This window comes from Homo sapiens, chromosome 2 (genome assembly GCF_000001405.40).
Source record: "Homo sapiens chromosome 2, GRCh38.p14 Primary Assembly".
Taxonomy (NCBI): domain Eukaryota; kingdom Metazoa; phylum Chordata; class Mammalia; order Primates; family Hominidae; genus Homo; species Homo sapiens.
The window spans coordinates 173,515,107-173,534,440 of NC_000002.12; the positions used below are offsets into that span (position 1 = coordinate 173,515,107).

At 39.2% G+C, this 19,334-nt stretch overlaps 2 annotated features.

The window, feature by feature from the left end:
- Nucleotides 17,372–17,952: an enhancer, noted in NCBI's record as "H3K27ac-H3K4me1 hESC enhancer chr2:174397206-174397786 (GRCh37/hg19 assembly coordinates)". NCBI's record gives its function as "activates a minimal SCP1, AML or CMV promoter by ChIP-STARR-seq in naive H9 embryonic stem cells {active_cell/tissue: H9 hESC(naive)}" and the evidence as "EXISTENCE:reporter gene assay evidence [ECO:0000049][PMID:30033119]".
- Nucleotides 17,953–18,533: an enhancer, noted in NCBI's record as "H3K27ac-H3K4me1 hESC enhancer chr2:174397787-174398367 (GRCh37/hg19 assembly coordinates)". NCBI's record gives its function as "activates a minimal SCP1, AML or CMV promoter by ChIP-STARR-seq in naive H9 embryonic stem cells {active_cell/tissue: H9 hESC(naive)}" and the evidence as "EXISTENCE:reporter gene assay evidence [ECO:0000049][PMID:30033119]".

A 19,334-nucleotide genomic window follows, 5' to 3' on the forward strand; every position in this document is an offset into this window, starting at 1 on the left:
GCAATATTGCATAGTAGGAGTTTTTAATAGTCAAAGACACCTGAGACCTATGTAACCAATAAAGCATGCTTTGATTTGTAGTTACACAGTACACTGTATTATTATCGTCAGAACATCCATTCATACATTCAACAGATATTCATGAAATACTTACTAGGCTCTAGGCACCTACATCTGATAAAAATAGGCTTACAAAAATACACATGGAGAGATGACGGATTCATGAAGAGTTTATAGATGTTTTTGGAACTATTTATGTGTGCCAGTGTCTCATTCTACCTGCAACTGCAGAAGTTTTTCAAGTTTAGAAAAAATTGGGAAACATAAGGTTATTAGTTAAATGGGGAAGTGTTTTTATTTTGTTTAGTTTTTTTTTTCTCATGGAAATACTCAGATTATGTTAGCTCTGTATTTTCGCACACACATGTACTTACATATATTTAAGTCAATCTTGAATCTGATTTCACTGTCTTACACCCCTCCTTAAGTCATTGTTTCTTGATTCATTTCATTGATCTAACCTTGTTTACGAAATTGTTTTCCTCTGTCCTCTGCTTCCCTTTTCATCCCTTCTATAAGTCACATCGCAGCTGGAGTAATTTTAGCTTGAGAAGTTAATTCATAGTTAATATTTGGTATTTTGAATGGATCTAACCTTCGAAACTTCTATAAGGCAGGGTATCAATTAATACATCTCAGATATAAAAATTTTTCTTAAAAAAGGTATCAAGGGCTTCTGGCTAGGGATTGTAGAAGTATCCCCTGAGGTGCTGGCCTGATTGCATTCTGCTGGTTCTCACATAATTGGAGGAGATCAGCTATCAAGAAAACTTCCCCAAAATACTTTATATTGTACATCTACATGCCTAACATGTATTAAATTGACCAAAGGTTTCCAATGGCTTTAGCAAATCATGTCCCAGCCTCTCCTCACCTGTATCCTGAGATTCTGCCTGACCTCAAAAGAATTCTTTCTTTGTTTTTGAATTGTATTTTTTTAACTTAAAAAATGTTGTTAATGCAATGTTGAAAATGTGACAAAGGGAAGGCAGTGGGGAAGGACATGAGGTCTGAAAAGGAAATTAGCCTGTAGCCCAGTACTGAGCTCTGGGTGTCATGGAGACTTCAGACACCTGGAGTTAGAGGTAGTAGCTGTGATTGTATACAACATCGTGTTTCACATTCCTCCCAGGGAAAAATAATGTGACCTACCAACTGGTGAGGTCTGGAACCATTTGGTCACCGATGCAAACATCCCTGATTATTCTTTAACATAATTATGGAGGAGACGTAAAAATTACAAAATTCCTGCTAGTCAATTAACTGGAGGCTTAGAGTATTGAATGAAAAATCTGCTAATTATATTAATTTGGTGCCTAAATATTGGGAGAAATTTTGCAGCATCGTTTCCCCTTATAACTAAATTATTCAATCAATATAAGATACTTAACTATAAGTAGAAACTAAGCATAAATCAATAATTAAAATTATAAATCCAAAGAATAAACTAAACCAAACTTATTGGCAAGATGAATCATTTGTAGAAAAACAACTATATTAGAAATGTGCTAAGCCCATACAATTGTTCTCTCTAATAGCTTACATATTCCTTGATCTATTTTTAAGATCGTGCTCCTAAAGCAAAGTTTTCCAAGATGTATTTCAAGGAATAATAATTGCTAAAGATATTAATAGGTATTCTGTAAGAAGTGTTTCATGGCCAAATATATTTGGGAAATGTTGAGATAACTTTCAAATTAAAAATATTCCTTACTGGCTTCTGTTTCCTTCCAGAATGGTGTCATAGGGATCAGATTTACTTTTCTACCACAAACAACTAGCAAACTGGCAAAGTTTATGAAACAACCATTTCCAGACATTAGACAGAGGCAGCTCAGGGCTGTGATTCCTGAGAGAAGGGAGACAAATAAGGTAAGTCCCACTGTCACCTTGGTTTCTGTTCGGAGGCAATTTCCAGACAACTGTGCAGGAAAGAGAATCCCAAGCAGAGTATAATGGCCTTGATGAATTAAGGAGAAGGCTTTCAGGGAGATTGAGGAGGCTGAAAGTTTCTAGACATCCACAACATTCATAATGTTTAGAATATAATGTTAAAAAGTCACTAGACATGCCACGAAATGGGAAGATGTAACCCACAACCAGGAGAAAAATCAGTCAATAGATACAGGCTTGTTCAATAGGTAGAACTACCAGTAAAGGATGTTAAAACATCAGTTATAAATACGCCCATGTAGTTAAAGAAAAGCATGAACAAATGAGAAAAATGGAAGATAAAAAGAACCAAATGGAATTTCTAGAGATCATAAATACAATATTTGAAATTAACAAAAGATCAGGCACTGAAGAAGACAAGATAATTGAACTTGAAGATATAAAAATAGAATTTATACAAAATGAAGTACAGAGAGAAAAATCACTGAAAAAACCCAAAGCAGTTGGCTCACGCCTGTAATCCCAGCACTTTGGGAGGCTGAGGTGGGCAGATCACGAGGTCAGAAGATCGAGACCATCCTGGCTAACACGATGAAACCCCGTCTCTACTAAAAAAAATACAAAAAATTAGCTGGGCGTGGTGGCGGGCACCTGTAGTCCCAGCTACTCAGGAGGCTGAGGCAGGAGAATGGTGTGGACCCGGGAGGTGGAGCTTGCAGTGAGCTGAGATCACACCACTGCACTCCAGCCTGGGTGACAGAGTGAGACTCCATCTCAAAAAAAAAAAAAAAAAAAAAACCCAAGCAGAACAACAGTGACTTGTGAGATATTAAGTGATTTATCATACATGTAATTTGAGTCTCAAAACAAGAGGAGAGAAAAGAAGGAAACACTAGTATATATGAAGAAATAATGGCTGAAAATTCCAAATTTGGTGAAAATCATGAACCTTTAAATAAAAGAAACTCAATGAACTTCAAGCAGGAGAAACATGTACATACACACACACCACAAACCATATCATAATAAAATTCTTTAAAATGAATGATTAAGAGAAAATCTTAAAAGCAGACAGAGATAAAAGATATTACATAAAATGAACAGAAACTAAGACTATCCAAGGACTTCTTTCTAGAAAATATATAAGCCAGAAGAAGGTAGAATGGCATCTCTAAGGTGCTGGGTAAAACAAGAGCAACAACTATAAACTTAGAATTTTATATCCAGCAAAAATATCCTTCAACATTTAATGCAAAATAAAACTCTTTCACACAAGAACTGAGGGAATTTATTGCTAATGGACATTTACTATAAGGAATGTTGAAGGACATTCTTCAGGCAGAAGGAAAACTGTACCAGATGGAAACTTGGATTACATAAAGGGATAAAGAGTACTAGAAGGGGTAAATATATGAGTAAAAATAAAAGACATTTTTCTATTTTTTGTGTTTCCTTCACAGGATATGAATAATTAAATGATTTGAACACTCCACTTAAAAACCAGAGATTGTCAGGCTGAATTTAAAAATTAACAATATGGTTTCTATAAGAAAACCACTTTGACTGTAAAGATATGTTAAAAGGCAAATGATAGAAAAAGACATAATCTTAAAAAGTTAGTCACAAGAATGGCAGGTGGCTATTTTAACATTAGACAAAGTAGATTTCAGGAAAAGAATATTTCTAGAGATAAAAAGAGGTACTTTATGATGATTAAGGAAACAGTCTATCAAGAAAACATAAACTTCTATAAGCATGTGTCCCCAGTAACAGTTTAAAAATACGTGAAGCAGAAACAGACAGAACAAAAAAGAAAAAAGACAATCACAATTATTGTTGAACATTTCAACAGTTCCTTCTCAGTAATTGACAGAAAGGTAGATGGAAAATCAGTAATGATACAGACCACTAGAACAACACTATAAAGCAATCTGATCAAATGGACATATAGAGCATTCTATCCAACAATAGCAGACTATACACTCTTTTCAACTGAACATGGAAAATTCACCAAGATATATAATGTGTTGGAACCATAAAACCAGCATCAATCCATTTAAAAGAACTGAAGTCATAAAGAGTATATTCTCTGACCACAAGGGAATTAAATTAGGAGTGTAGCCGGATGAGATGGCTCACACCTGTAATCCCAGCACTTTGGGAGGCCAAGGTGGGTGGATCACCTGAGGTCAGGAGTTCGAGACCATCCTGGCCGACGTGGCGAAACCCTGTCTCTAATAAAAATACAAAAAAAAGATTAGCCGGGTGTGGTGGCACATGCCTGTAATCCCAGCTACTTGGGAGGCTGAGGCAGTAGAATCTCTTGAACCTGGGAGGTGGCGGTTGCAGTGAGCCGAGATCGTACTATTGCACTCCAGCCTGGGCAAGAAGAGCAAAACTCTGTCTCAAAAAAATAAATAAATAAAAATAAATGAATTAGGAATGAATGGCAGACAGATATCTAGAAGATATGGCTAATGTTTTACTCCCCTGGACAAACATTTTATTGGCTTTAGAGGTCCTACTTATTTCCTAGACAAATATGTTGTGTATTATCAGTACTTCTTTCAAATAGCTTTTTGAAGTTGCTAGCTTATGCCTACCAAGTTCAATTTCCCCACCCCTGCGGAGTTTCCAGCATCTCATCTCTCTAAGGGAGTGTCATGAGGCACATTCCTCCTGCTGACCATAGAGCAGATCTCAGGCATAAATGAAAGCCTGGAAGTCTGTGTAAACTTGACATGCGGTGGTCCTCAGGCTCGGCCCTTGCTGCCGGCACTCTTCTCAGTCTTTCTTGCAAGTAGTTCTTAGAAACAGCAAAGTCCTGTGGTCTTTTTTCCACAGTAGCGGCCTAGAGCCCAGGCCTGAAACTAAACACATCCTCAGGAGTGACAGGACTCAGTGAATCAGGGCAGACCTACTGGAAATTAGACAGTGGGCAGGCGAGTGGTCTCAAAGCACCTGCCATTTGCTTCATAGAGTAACATGCAATTTAGCTCAGTCACTGGAGCATAATTGCCTTATTTTTACAATGCTAGTATTCACATAATCTGCCATTCTTTTCATTAAATTTTCGTGGGCCATTTATCTTTTTCAGAGGACTCAGGACATCTCCTGAAAGCAGTTGTTATATTTTAGTCCTTTTCCGTAGGCATCAGGAGATAAAAAGTGAGAGAACTTTGAAGATTCACGGGTTGAGGACATGAGTAACGTAGGTAGGGCAAATGCAGTGGAAAGTTTAATTATTTAGGAGGCAGCCATGGTGTGGTAGTGTAGCCTCAGAAGGAGCCAGGCCCAGCTGTGTTTCTTACTTGCTATGAGATATTTGGCAAGTTTCTTATATCCTGAGCATTGGTTTCCTAATTTATGAAACAGTGCAAAATAGGCCACACACATACACACATATAATTTCATATTATTTACTTAAGGAAGTAATATTTTTAAATTGCCTATTATTCCTAGGACATAGAAGGTTCACAATAAACAGGAGCTGCCATCACTATTTCCAAAGCCACTGTAATGGTTTAAAATAATAAAAATTCCTGTACCCCCTGAATCTAAAATAAAGTAGAAATTGTAAAACAACAAAAAATAAATGAGAGCATAGAGTGCCTTCTATAGAAGGAGTTCTAAAACAGTCTCAAGAGAGGCTCTTTAAAAACTTTTGCTTAAGGTAGGGGCAGAAAGGAGAGAGAATTTAAAATTAACAGAGCTGTCAAGAAAAACTGAAAACGATTCCACATTATTTTCAGAGGCAACCGGATCACACCTGGATCTTCTGGGAGGTGTAAGTAACTTCTTTAAAGTGTTCCTATAGTTCCGTGGTTCTAATAGAAAGCCCATTTTCTCTTAAAAGCAGATACTACTCTGCTCCTATGCAATGGTGTCCCCTGAAGATAAACGCACCATTTAGAGCTCTCTATACATTCTGTAGCCTGCACACGCTTTCTAAATATAGTAGCCAGATGATTACTTAATTTAGCTAGAAATGGCAGATTGTTGACAAAGAATCCCTGCTGAGTTCCAATGCCTTGAAATGCAGCTTTTATAAAGCAAATCATATCTGAAGAAATGACTAACAATGCCATTTGCTTCATATAGTGACACAATATTTAGCTCTGTCACTGGAGTATAATTCCCTTATTTTTACAATGTTAGTACTCTATTGATAAATATAGATTACCTGGAACAAGTCAGTCCTGCTGTGGGGGGTATAGCAGTTACAAAGAACAGAGACTTTAGACAAGGAAACTATCTCATATTCAAACATATCATCTGTTCTCCATCACTTGGTTACTCAAATGATGTCTATTTAGTTCGTAGGTAGGATCAACTAATAGAGGATTATTTAATTGACATGGAACTTAATAAATGTTAGGTAAAGAAATATAAACAGTTTCACATGACAGCCAGAGATGGGAAGAGACCTACAAATATAAATCCTGTTGCCATTTTGCTACTTGGTCATAATATGTGGTGGGGGCTGTGGGCATTAGAGTCAACATTGCCCCTACCCTCTCACATGTCCATATATGTGCTCCCTTATGTCTCCTTCCTCCTGGAGTTAACGATTGTTTGATAATAGTGTGTCATCCCTCAGGAATGTTGGAATATAGGAGGGTGGAGAGAACCCATAGAACTAACTGAATAGTCCAGGTGTTCAGATAATCAAATCCATCTGTATGTGTCTCTATCTCTCAAGTTTGCTTTCCTCATAGGTGGTCCATGAATACAAGATGCCCATGGACAGATAGCATCCTTACAGCTTGCAGTCCCAGTAGAAGAATAAATGTAGGAATTTAGGAAGCCCTCTGATTGGTCTGGCTTGGGAGACAGGATAAAGTGCTCAGTTTGGCGAGGCCAGCTTTACCTGACCACTCCACTCCTGGAGTGCATGGCTGGGTGGGGAGGCACTTAGCCCTTCCAAAGCCACATGACTGAATAGGTCACTGTGGACTGAGGTAGGCTAATGCCCTGAAGGAACAGCTGATGGGCAGGTGAAGGAGATGGTACTCACCGTGTCTCCGCAGGATAAAGGGTGAGTAGGGAGAGCCACAGAGCACTGTGGGGCTTTCTGAAGGAAAGGTTATCTTGGATGCAGAAATGTTTTATGGAGGAGGGAGTCTCTGAGATGAGGCTTGAAGATGGATAGGATTTACCTTGTTGAAAAAAATTGTCTTTATATACTTTTCTGTTAGTCTGTACAACACTTGACCTCTAGAATTATTTTATGAATATGGAATTGTCCCTCTAAACTGTGAAGTCAAGAGTCATGCCTAATACTTCTCTGTATAGAACCCAAAGCAGGCACTCCATAAGTACAGCTGTACTTGTTAGAATTGGAGCTCTTCTGGCAAATGTACTGCTCATGCTCGTGCTTTATTTATGTCAGCGAGGCCTCGATTGCCCCTATGTTTATATGTTAGGGTGGAGATTCTCCGGTCTCTTCAGAGCAGACACTAGATAATGTCTGTTAGGCATCGGTCTTTTTTTTTTTTTTTAACTTTATGAGATGATGTCATCTCTTTGCCTTGCTCTAATTGTCAATGTGTATGACTTTGCCCTTAATCAGACACAGTGAATATCTACACCTCAGATTATTGCTAGAGAATAAAATCTCCAATTACTCTGTTCTATTAAAAGCCCTGTGGTACAAACTATATCAGCAGAAGATTCCCTAAAGTTACATACAGTCCCGACATCTAAATAGACATTGTAAATTGCCTGGTTGGACCAAGGCAGATAATTAAAGAGCTCGGAGAGTTTTGATTCCTCCCCTGGAACTGCTTTTGCTGAAAAGTGCTCTGAGGTTATACTGTCAGCTGCATTGACATGGTTCCCAAAATTTGCTCTTGGGAACACTCCCTTTCCCCTTCATAAATCACTACAGGAAAAAATTTTCTCAGGAAAACTGTTCTTTCCAAGCAACCATTTTTGTTTGTTTCTTTCCTTTTCTACCTTTTTTTTCTATTTTTTTGAGACGAGTCTCGCTCTGTCGCCCAGGCTGGAGTGCAGTGGTGCGATCTCGGCTCACTGCAAGCTCCGCTCCCGGGTTCAAGCCATTCTCCTGCCTCAGCCTCCTGAGTAGCTGGGACTACAGGCGCCTGCCACCACACTCAGCTAATTTTTTGTGTTTTTAGTAGAGACAGGGGTTTCACTGTGTTAGCCAGGATGGTCTTGATCTCCCCTTTTTTGCTGTTTTTTTAAGTCCGTTGAACTTTGTGAATCTTTCAGAGACATGCTTTGGCTAATTTAGAAGGTCAGAGACAAATTTGTTGTCCACCTATAGCAACTGCATAGGATATTATAAGACCATTTTATATACTAACCTTACCCTATATTTATTTTATTTTCCTGCCTTTACTCTTATTTTTGTTTGATTTCATCTGTTTACTTAATCCCATTTATCCTAAGTATTTTAAAGCACCTCAAATCATTTTTGGAGGTGAGATATAAATAGAGTGTTAAGGCAATATGCCCAGTATCCATTAAATACTTTTTTTAAAATGTAAAAATATCCTATGGATCCCTCTGTGGCTCTTTCACTGAAGCCTGAGTGGTCAAACTCAGGAGCTTTTATTTTGAATGGTTCTAACCGGCAGATCTGCAAATGCTCACTCAGCACTTCGGGGAAGCAGAAGTTCAAACATGAGGAGGCAAGCGACTGTGTAGGAAGATGTTCTAATTCTGGTCACACCCTGATGTGACCAAGACCTCTTATTGGCAATGGCCAGAATTCATCCTTAGGTCCAACGATTGTAGGGAAGTGGGGGTGTTCCTGAGTGATCCCTTTCCTCTAGATGCCTGGGATATTGTTCAGTGAATACCAAGGAATCCTGTAGATTGCAGATTCATGTAGAACTCAAATCTCAACCTAAAATTCTTGTGGACAGGTTCCTGGAAGAGTTTTAAGGACCCTAAAGATTAGGGCCTTTTAGGGGGTGGCGACAATATTCCAGGCTAACTGTTGGAAAAGAAATCTAGGAATTTGCATGTAAGGTAGCTAGACATCTATGGGCTGACAATTAGTTTTGTGTTGTTGGTCACTGTAATCAGTTAGGATGCATTTGGTCATATAGAAGAGAAACCTAACGCAAATGGGCTTAAACAATTAAAGGGAATTTATTGACAGAAAAATCCAGAATTAGAAAAGTTGTATGCAAGAATTGATCCAGAATTGAGACTCGAGCTCAACAAGGCCACCAGTGTCTTTCAGTCTGTGTCCTCTCTCTACTGAACCTCACACTGTGGCAGTTTCTTCTCAAGGCTGGTTCTCCTTATTGCAGAATAGTTGTCAGCAACAACTGGAGTTGTTAATTCTCATCTCCTGGGAGAAAGCACCAGCGATTTCTCCACATCGGAGCTTCCTTCTGCTCGGACCGATTTGTGTCACATGCTCACCTCTGAGCCAATCAGAGGAGACGCAACTAAGGACAATCAGGTCCCACCAGGGTAGGGACAAGGACATCTATACCACATAGCTAGAAATGTGGAGTCCTGATAGGAAGATGGGAAGAAAGCAAAAAAAGAATACTTGAGGAGTGTATGTGGTTGGGAATGGGGAAAGAAACAGACAAAAAAGCTCACTATTGCTATTAGAGTCTTAGAGGAACAATGCAGTTTATCAGTCCACGAAAACCCTCTAGTGTCTGCCTATAGAATGTTGCAATGGCTTCTACTGGTAGAACTGACTGCCTCATTGCTAGTTTTGAACTTCCTGCATGATGTTATGCCGTAAGAAAATCTATAATTAGAAGATGGACAATGTATTTTAGGGAAGTTCTAAGCAGATTATATTAAGGGAAAGGAAAAAAGATCTGTCTCACTCATACTAAGTACATTCATCTTCTCAGCAAGTGACCACTGCTGGACTGAGAGACTCTGGTAACCAGCTAAGAACCAGGTGATGGTTGTGAAGTGGGAGAGAGGAGTTGCCTTTGTATTTAGTGCAGACCAGTGGAGGAGATGCATAAAACACCCTAAAAACCCAGGAATGAACATGCTGCCTGGCAGGACCTACTGAATTGCCCCTCTTTGGGCAATAGGACTCAAGGACCCTCCAACAGAGTATGATTGACAGGTCTGGGATGGCTTGTTAGACTTGGGTTTAAGTTGGGGGTATCCCAGTTAACTGTGTTGTTTGCACCAACAGAACCTTTTGGGCTTGCCCAAGTCTTAAAATAAGCCCTCCCTCCTCCCACTTCTGCCTGATCACTAAGATTGGGATGGTTTCACCTTTTCACTGGGTATGGAAAAAAATGCAAATCTGTCTCTCTTTGTGATGTGTATATATATATATATATATATATATATGTGTGTGTGTGTGTGTGTGTGTGTGTGTGTGTGTGTATATGTATATATATATGTCTGTGGTCTGTGATCTGTGTTGTGTATATATATATGTGTATATATATGTGTGCATATGTGTATATATATACACACACACACACATACACACACATATACATGGCCTGGCTTTTTAATCTAAGGATTAAGCATTCTTCAAATTGATTTCACAAAATTATTTCTACTGAATTCCTTTCCTTGGGGTCTTTCTGGCTCATAAATGGTTTCCCAAAGTGTATAACAGCCTCTATCTTTGACTAAGAGTTTGCATGAATAATAAAATCTTCCAGGAGTAAACAAGCTCATATTTTTACCATTTGTAAACTTTATTGCTATTATAAAATCAATGTTTTGAGACCATAACTCTGGGCAGATCTTATTGATGGTGGTGGGGACTGTCCTCAAGGCACATGGAATTTCTTTTCATATAAAACATTAGTGTAGTTTTATATATGTGATAATCCCTCTTCATCATAAATATCTCAGCGTGCCACTTAGTGAGGCAAGCATGTGATGTACATAATGATATGCAAAGCAGTGTCTACACCCAGGGATGAATTGCCCTCCCAACACAGATCACAGACCACAGACATATACCCACCTCAAGAGGGATAAAGGCTTTCAATGTAATGAAGATTAGAAACCGGCAAACTCTGGTGGAGGCTCTTCCCAGACACTTGACCTTCTTCCCTGACCCTCAAACTTGTCTAGATTGAAAACCCCAGAACTGCCTTATCTGTTTCCCATTTTTGCCTTTGGCTTCTCTTGGGAAGCCTTCAGCTGTCCTCTAGGGCAGGTATTCCCAAACATGTCTGTTAATGAGAATTATCTGATGTTTCCTTTTTTTCTTAGTGATGTATAAAATAATTATAATAAAATAATTCATGCACATGGAAATAACATTTCAAACAGTATAGATGAGAAGGAAATGAAAAGATCACTTTCTCTCCCTGCCTGGTCTCATTTCCTAATCATTTTAAAACCATTTCTGTGTTAAGTTCTTCTTCTGGTGTTTACCTACATAATATTCAACAATATGTTTATACTTGTATAAATATAAATGAAACATACAAGAAAATGTTATGTTCTTGGTGCCTTTATTGAAAATCAGTTGGCTACAAATATGTGGACTTATTTCTGGATTCTCTATTCTGTTCCTTTGGTTTATGTGTCTGTTTTTATACCAGTACCATGCTGTTTTGGTTACTATAGCCTTGTAATATATTTTGAAATCAGGTAGTGTGATGCCTCCAGCCTCCTTCTTTTTGCTCAGGATTGCTTTGGCTTTTTGGGCTCTATTTTGGTTCTATAAAAATTTTAGTTTTTTTTTTTTCTATTTCTGTGAGAAATGTCCTTGGTATTTTGACAGGGTTTCACTGAATCTGTATATTACTTTGAGTAGTATGGTCATTTTAACCATACTAATTCTTACAATACATGAGCATGGGATGTCTTTCCACATGTTTGTGTTCCCTTCAGTTTCTTTCATCAGTGCTTTGTAGTTTTCCCTGCAAAGGCATTTCCCCTTCTTGGTTAAATTGATTACTAGGTATTTTGTATTTTTTATAGCTATTGTAAATGAGATTGTTTCTTGATTTGTTTTTCAGTGAGTTTATTATTGGCATATGAAAATGTTACTGATTTTTGTGTGTTAATATTGTATCCTGCAATTTTACGGAACTTGTTTATCAAATCTAAGAGTTTTTGGTAGATTCTTTAGATTTTTCTAGACATAGGATCATGTCATCTGCAAAGAAGGACAATTTGACTGCCTCTTTTCCAATGTGGATGCCTTTTATTTCTTTTCCTTGCCTGATTGCCCTGGCTAGGACTATGTTAAATAGGACTGGTAAGAGTGGACATCCTTTTTTAGTTGCAGTTCTTTTTTTTTTTTATTATTATACTTTAAGTTTTAGGGTACATGTGCACTTTGTGCAGGTTAGTTACATATGTATACATGTGCCATGCTGGTGCGCTGCACCCACTAACTCGTCATCTAGCATTAGGTATATCTCCCAATGCTATCCCTCCCCCCTCCCCCGACCCCACAACAGTCCCCAGAGTGTGATGTTCCCCTTCCTGTGTCCATGTGATCTCATTGTTCAATTCCCACCTATGAGTGAGAATATGTGGTGTTTGGTTTTTTGTTCTTGCGATAGTTTACTGAGAATGATGATTTCCAATTTCATCCATGTCCCTACAAAGGACATGAGCTCATCATTTTTTATGGCTGCATAGTATTCTATGGTGTATATGTGCCACATTTTCTTAATCCAGTCTATCATTGTTGGACATTTGGGTTGGTTCCAAGTCTTTGCTATTGTGAACAGTGCCGCAATAAACATACGTGTGCATGTGTCTTTATAGCAGCATGATTTATAGTCCTTTGGGTATATACCCAGTAATGGGATGGCTGTGTCAAATGGTATTTCTAGTTCTAGATCCCTGAGGAATCGCCACACTGACTTCCACAATGGTTAAACTAGTTTACAGTCCCACCAACAGTGTAAAAGTGTTCCTATTTCTCCACATCCTCTCCAGCGCCTGTTGTTTCCTGACTTTTTAATGATTGCCATTCTAACTGGTGTGAGATGGTATCTCATTGTGGTTTTGATTTGCATTTCTCTGATGGCCAGTGATGATGAGCATTTTTTCATGTGTTTTTTGGCTGCATAAATGTCTTCTTTTGAGAAGTGTTTGTTCATGTCCTTTGCCCACTTTTTGATGGGGTTGTTTGTTTTTCTCTTGTAAATTTGTTTGAGTTCATTGTAGATTCTGGATATTAGCCCTTTGTCAGATGAGTAGGTTGCAAAAATTTTCTCCCATTTTGTAGGTTGCCTGTTCACTCTGATGGTAGTTTCTTTTGCTGTGCAGAAGCTCTTTAGTTTAATTAGATCCCATTTGTCAATTTTGTCTTGTGTTGCCATTGCTTTTGGTGTTTTAGACATGAAGTCCTTGCCCATGCCTATGTCCTGAATGGTAATGCCTAGGTTTTCTTCTAGGGTTTTTATGGTTTTAGGTCTAATGTTTAAGTCTTTAATCCATCTTGAATTGATTTTTGTATAAGGTGTAAGGAAGGGATCCAGTTTCAGCTTTCTACATATGGCTAGCCAGTTTTCCCAGCACCATTTATTAAATAGGGAATCCTTTCCCCATTGCTTGTTTTTCTCAGGTTTGTCAAATATCAGATAGTTGTAGGTAAGCGGCGTTATTTCTGAGGGCTCTGTTCTGTTCCATTGATCTATATCTCTGTTTTGGTACCAGTACCATGCTGTTTTGGTTACTGTAGCCTTGTAGTATAGTTTGAAGTCAGGTAGTGTGATGCCTCCAGCTTTGTTCTTTTGGCTTAGGATTGACTTGGTGATGAGGGCTCTTTTTTGGTTCCATATGAACTTTAAAGTAGTTTTTTCCAATTCTGTGAAGAAAGTCATTGGTAGCTTGATGGGGATGGCATTGAATCTGTAAATTACCTTGGGCAGTATGGCCATTTTCACAATATTGATTCTTCCTACCCATGAGCATGGAATGTTCTTCCATTTGTTTGTATCCTCTTTTATTTCACTGAGCAGTGGTTTGTAGTTCTCCTTGAAGAGGTCCTTCATGTCCCTTGTAAGTTGGATTCCTAGGTATTTTATTCTCTTTGAAGCAATTGTGAATGGGAGTTCACTCATGATTTGGCTCTCTGTTTGTCTGTTGTTGGTGTATAAGAATGCTTGTGATTTTTGCACATTGATTTTGTATCCTGAGACTTTGCTGAAGTTGCTTATCAGCTTAAGGAGATTTTGGGCTGAGACAATGGGGTTTTCTAGATATACAATCATGTCGTCTGCAAACAGGGACAATTGACTTCCTCTTTTCCTAATTGAATACCCTTTATTTCCTTCTCCTGCCTAATTGCCCTGGCCAGAACTTCCAACACTGTGTTGAATAGGAGTGGTGAGAGAGGACATCCCTGTCTTGTGCCAGTTTTCAAAGGGAATGCTTCCAGTTTTTGCCCATTCAGTATGATATTGGCTGTGGGTTTGTCATAGAAAGCTGTTATTATTTTGAAATACGTCCCATCAACACCTAATTTATTGAGAGTTTTTAGCATGAAGGGTTGTTGAATTTTGTCAAAGGCTTTTTCTGCATCTATTGAGATAATCATGTGGTTTTTGTCTTTGGCTCTGTTTATATGCTGGATTACATTTATTGATTTGCGTATATTGAACCAGCCTTGCATCCCAGGGATGAAGCCCACTTGATCATGGTGGATAAGCTTTTTGATGTGCTGCTGGATTCATTTTGCCAGTATTTTATTGAGGATTTTTGCATCAATGTTCATCAAGCATATTGGTCTAAAATTCTCTTTTTTGGTTGTATCTCTGCCCGGCTTTGGTATCAGAATGATGCTGGCCTCATAAAATGAGTTAGGGAGGATTCCCTCTTTTTCTATTGATTGGAATAGTTTCAGAAGGAATGGTACCAGTTCCTCCTTGTACCTCTGGTAGAATTCGGCTGTGAATCCATCTGGTCCTGGACTCTTTTTGGTTGGTAAGCTATTGATTATTGCCACAATTTCAGATCCTGTTATTGGTCTATTCAGAGATTCAACTTCTTCCTGGTTTAGTCTTGGGAAAGTGTACGTGTCGAGGAATTTATCCATTTCTTCTAGATTTTCTAGTTTATTTGTGTAGAGGTGCTTGTAGTATTCTCTGATGGTAGTTTGTATTTCTGTGGGATCGGTGGTGATATCCCCTTTATCATTTTTTTATTGCGTCTATTTGATCCTTCTCTCTTTTTTTCTTTATTAGTCTTGCTAGCGATCTATCAATTTTCTTGATCCTTTCAAAAAACCAGTTCCTGGATTCATTAATTTTTTGAAGGGTTTTTTGTGTCTCTATTTCCTTCAGCTCTGCTCTGATTTTAGTTATTTCTTGCCTTCTGCTAGCTTTTGAATGTGTTTGCTCTTGCTTTTCTGGTTCTTTTAATTGTGATGTTAGGGTGTCAATTTTGGATCTTTCCTGCCTTCTCTTGTGGGCATTTAGTGCTATAAATTTCCCTCTACACACTGCTTTGAATGCGTCCCAGAGATTCTGGTATGTTGTGTCTTTGTTCTCGTTGGTTTCAAAGAACATCTTTATTTCTGCCTTCATTTCGTTATGTACCCTGTAGTCATTCAGGAGCAGGTTGTTCAGTTTCCATGTAGTTGAGCGGTTTTGAGTGAGATTCTTAATCCTGAGTTCTAGTTTGATTGCACTGTGGTCTGAGAGATAGTTTGTTATAATATCTGTTCTTTTACATTTGCTGAGGAGAGCTTTACTTCCAAGTATGTGGTCAATTTTGGAATAGGTGTGGTGTGGTGCTGAAAAAAATGTATATTCTGTTGATTTGGCGTGGAGAGTTCTGTAGATGTCTATTAGGTCTGCTTGGTGCAGAGCTGAGTTCAATTCCTGGGTATCCTTGTTGATTTTCTGTCTCGTTGATCTGTCTAATGTTGACAGTGGGGTGCTAAAGTCTCCCATTATTAATGTGTGGGAGTCTAAGTCTCTTTGTAGGTCACTCAGGACTTGCTTTATGAATCTGGGTGCTCCTGTATTGGGTGCATATATATTTAGGATAGTTAGCTCTTCTTGTTGAATTGATCCCTTTACCATTATGTAATGGCCTTCTTTGTCTCTTTTGATCTTTGTTGGTTTAAAGTCTGTTTTATCAGAGACTAGGATTGCAACCCCTGCCTTTTTTTGTTTTCCATTTGCTTGGTAGATCTTCCTCCATCCCTTTATTTTGAGCCTATGTGCGTCTCTGCACATGAGATGGGTTTCCTGAGTCAGCACACTGATGGGTCTTGACTCTTTATCCAATTTGCCAGTCTGTGTCTTTTAATTGGAGCATTTAGTCCATTTACATTTAAAGTTAATATTGTTATGTGTGAATTTGATCCTGTCATTATGATGTTAGCTGGTTATTTTGCTCGTTAGTTGATGCAGTTTCTTCGTAGTCTCGATGGTCTTTACATTTTGGCATGACTTTGCAGCGGCTGGTACCGGTTGTTCCTTTCCATGTTTAGTGCTTCCTTCAGGAGCTCTTTTAGGGCAGGCCTGGTGGTGACAAAATCTCTCAGCATTTGCTTGTCTGTAAAGGATTTTATTTCTCCTTCACTTATGAAGCTTAGTTTGGCTGGATATGAAATTCTGGGTTGAAAATTCTTTTCTTTAAGAATGTTGAATATTGGCCCCCACTCTCTTCTGGCTTGTAGGGTTTCTGCTGAGAGATCCGCTGTTAGTCTGATGGGCTTCCCTTTGAGGGTAACTCGACCTTTCTCTCTGGCTGCCCTTAACATTTTTTCCTTCATTTCAACTTTAGTGAATCTGACAATTATGTGTCTTGGAGTTGCTCTTCTCAAGGAGTATCTTTGTGGCGTTCTCTGTATTTCCTGAATCTGAACGTTGGCCTGCCTTGCTAGATTGGGGAAGTTCTCCTGGATAATGTCCTGCAGAGTGTTTTCCAACTTGGTTCCATTCTCCCCATCACTTTCAGGTACACCAATCAGACGTAGATTTGGTCTTTTCACATAGTCCCATATTTCTTGGAGGCTTTGCTCGTTTCTTTTTATTCTTTTTTCTCTAAACTTCCCTTCTCGCTTCATTTCATTCATTTCATCTTCCATTGCTGATACCCTTTCTTCCAGTTGATCGCATCAGCTCCTGAGGCTTCTGCATTCTTCACGTAGTTCTCGAGCCTTGGTTTTCAGCTCCATCAGCTCCTTTAGGCACTTCTCTGTATTGGTTATTCTAGTTATATATTCTTCTAAATTTTTTCAAAGTTTTCAACTTCTTTGCCTTTGGTTTGAATGTCCTCCCGTAGCTCAGAGTAATTTGAGCGTCTGAAGCCTTCTTCTCTCAGCTCGTTAAAGTCATTCTCCGTCCAGCTTTGTTCGTTGCTGGTGAGGAACTGCGTTCCTTTGGAGGAGGAGAGACGCTCTGCTTTTTAGAGTTTCCAGTTTTTCTGTTCTGTTTTTTCCCCATCTTTGTGGTTTTATCTACTTTTGGTCTTTGATGATGGTGATGTACAGATGGGTTTTTGGTGTGGATGTCCTTTCTGTTTGTTAGTTTTCCTTCTAACAGACAGGACCCTCAGCTGCAGGTCTGTTGGAGTACCCTGCCGTGTGAGGTGTCAGTGTGCCCCTGCTTGGGGGTGCCTCCCAGTTAGGCTGCTCGGGGGTCAGGGGGTCAGGGACCCACCTGAGGAGGCAGTCTGCCCGTTCTCAGATCTCCAGCTGCGTGCTGGGAGAACCACTGCTCTCTTCAAAGCTGTCAGACAGGAACATTTAAGTCTGCAGAGGTTACTGCTGTCTTTTTGTTTGTCTGTGCCCTGCCCCCAGAGGTGGAGCCTACAGAGGCAGGCCGGCCTCCTTGAGCTGTGGTGGGCTCCACCCAGTTCGAGCTTCCCGGCTGCTTTGTTTACCTAAGCAAGCCTGGGCAATGGCGGGCGCCCCTCCCCCAGCCTCGCTGCCGCCTTGCAGTTTGATCTCAGACGGCTGTGCTAGCAATCAGTGAGACTCCGTGGGCGTAGGACCCTCCCAGCCAGGTGCCGGATATAATCTCGTGGTGCGCCGGTTTTTAAGCCCGTCGGAAAAGCGCAGTATTCAGGTGGGAGTGACCCGATTTTCCAGGTGCCGTCTGTCACCCCTTTCTTTGACTAGGAAAGGGAACTCCCTGACCCCTTGCACTTCCCGAGTGAGGCAATGCCTCGCCCTGCTTCAGCTCGCACATGGTGCGCGCACCCACTGACCTGCGCCCACTGTCTGGCACTCCGTAGTGAGATGAACCCGGTACCTCAGATGGAAATGCAGAAATCACCCATCTTCTGCGTCACTCAAGCTGGGAGCTGTAGACCGGAGCTGTTCCTATTCGGCCATCTTGGCTCCTCCGCTCTATTTGCAGTTCTTAAAGGTAAGGCTATCAGCTTTTCTTCATTCAGTACGTTGTTAGCTGTGGGTGTATCATGTATGGACTTTATTAGGTTGAGGCATGTTCCTTCTATGCCTAGTTTGTTGGGCATTTTTGTCATAAAAGGATGTTGAATTTTATTAGATGCTTTTTCTGTGTCTATGAAGATGATAATATGATTTTTGTTCTTTGTTCTGTTGATGTGATGTAGCACATTTATTGATTTGCATATGGTAACCATCCTTGCATCCCTGAGGTAAATCCCACTTGATCACAATGTATTATCTTTTTGATATGCTCTTAGATTTGATTTGCTAGTATTTTGTTGAGATTGTTCACATCTATGTTCATGAGTAATGTTGGCCTGAAGGTTTTTGTTGTTGTTATTCCTTGTTTGGTTTTGGTATCAAAGTAATGCTGGTTTCATAGGATGAGTTAGGAAGAATTCCTTCCTCTTCTATTTTTTGGAATAGCTTGAGGAGAATTGGCATTAGTTCTTTTTTATCTGTAAATTTTGTAGAATTCAGCAATGTAGCCATCAGGTTCTGGGCTTTTCTTTGCTGGGAGACTGTTTATTACCGTTTTAATCTCATTACTTTTTATTAGTCTGTTTCTATTTCTTCCCGATTCAATTTTGGTAGGTTGTAGGTGTCCAGGAATTTACTCATTTTCTCTAGGTTTTCCAGTTTGTTAGTGTGTAGTTCTACTCATAGTAGTCTCTAATGATGATTTGTATTTTTGTGGTATCAGTTGTAATGTTTCCTTTTTCATTTCTGATTTTGTTTGTTTGGGTCTTCTTTCTTTTTTTCTTGGTTAGTCTAGCTAATTGCTTATCAATTTTGTTTATCTTTAAAAAAACACTTTTCATTTCGTTGATCCTTTGTATTTTTTTTGTCTCTGTTTTGTTTAGTTCTGCTCTGATTTTATTATTTATTTCCGTCTACTATAGTAATTTTGGGTTTGGTTTATTCTTGCTTTTCTAGTTCCTTGAAGTGCATTGTTAGGTTGTTTATTTGAAATCTTTCTACTTTTTGATCTCTACTGTATTTGCAACAGGTATCAGAGTTGGGTAGGGAAAAATAGATTATTTATTCATTTTTCAAG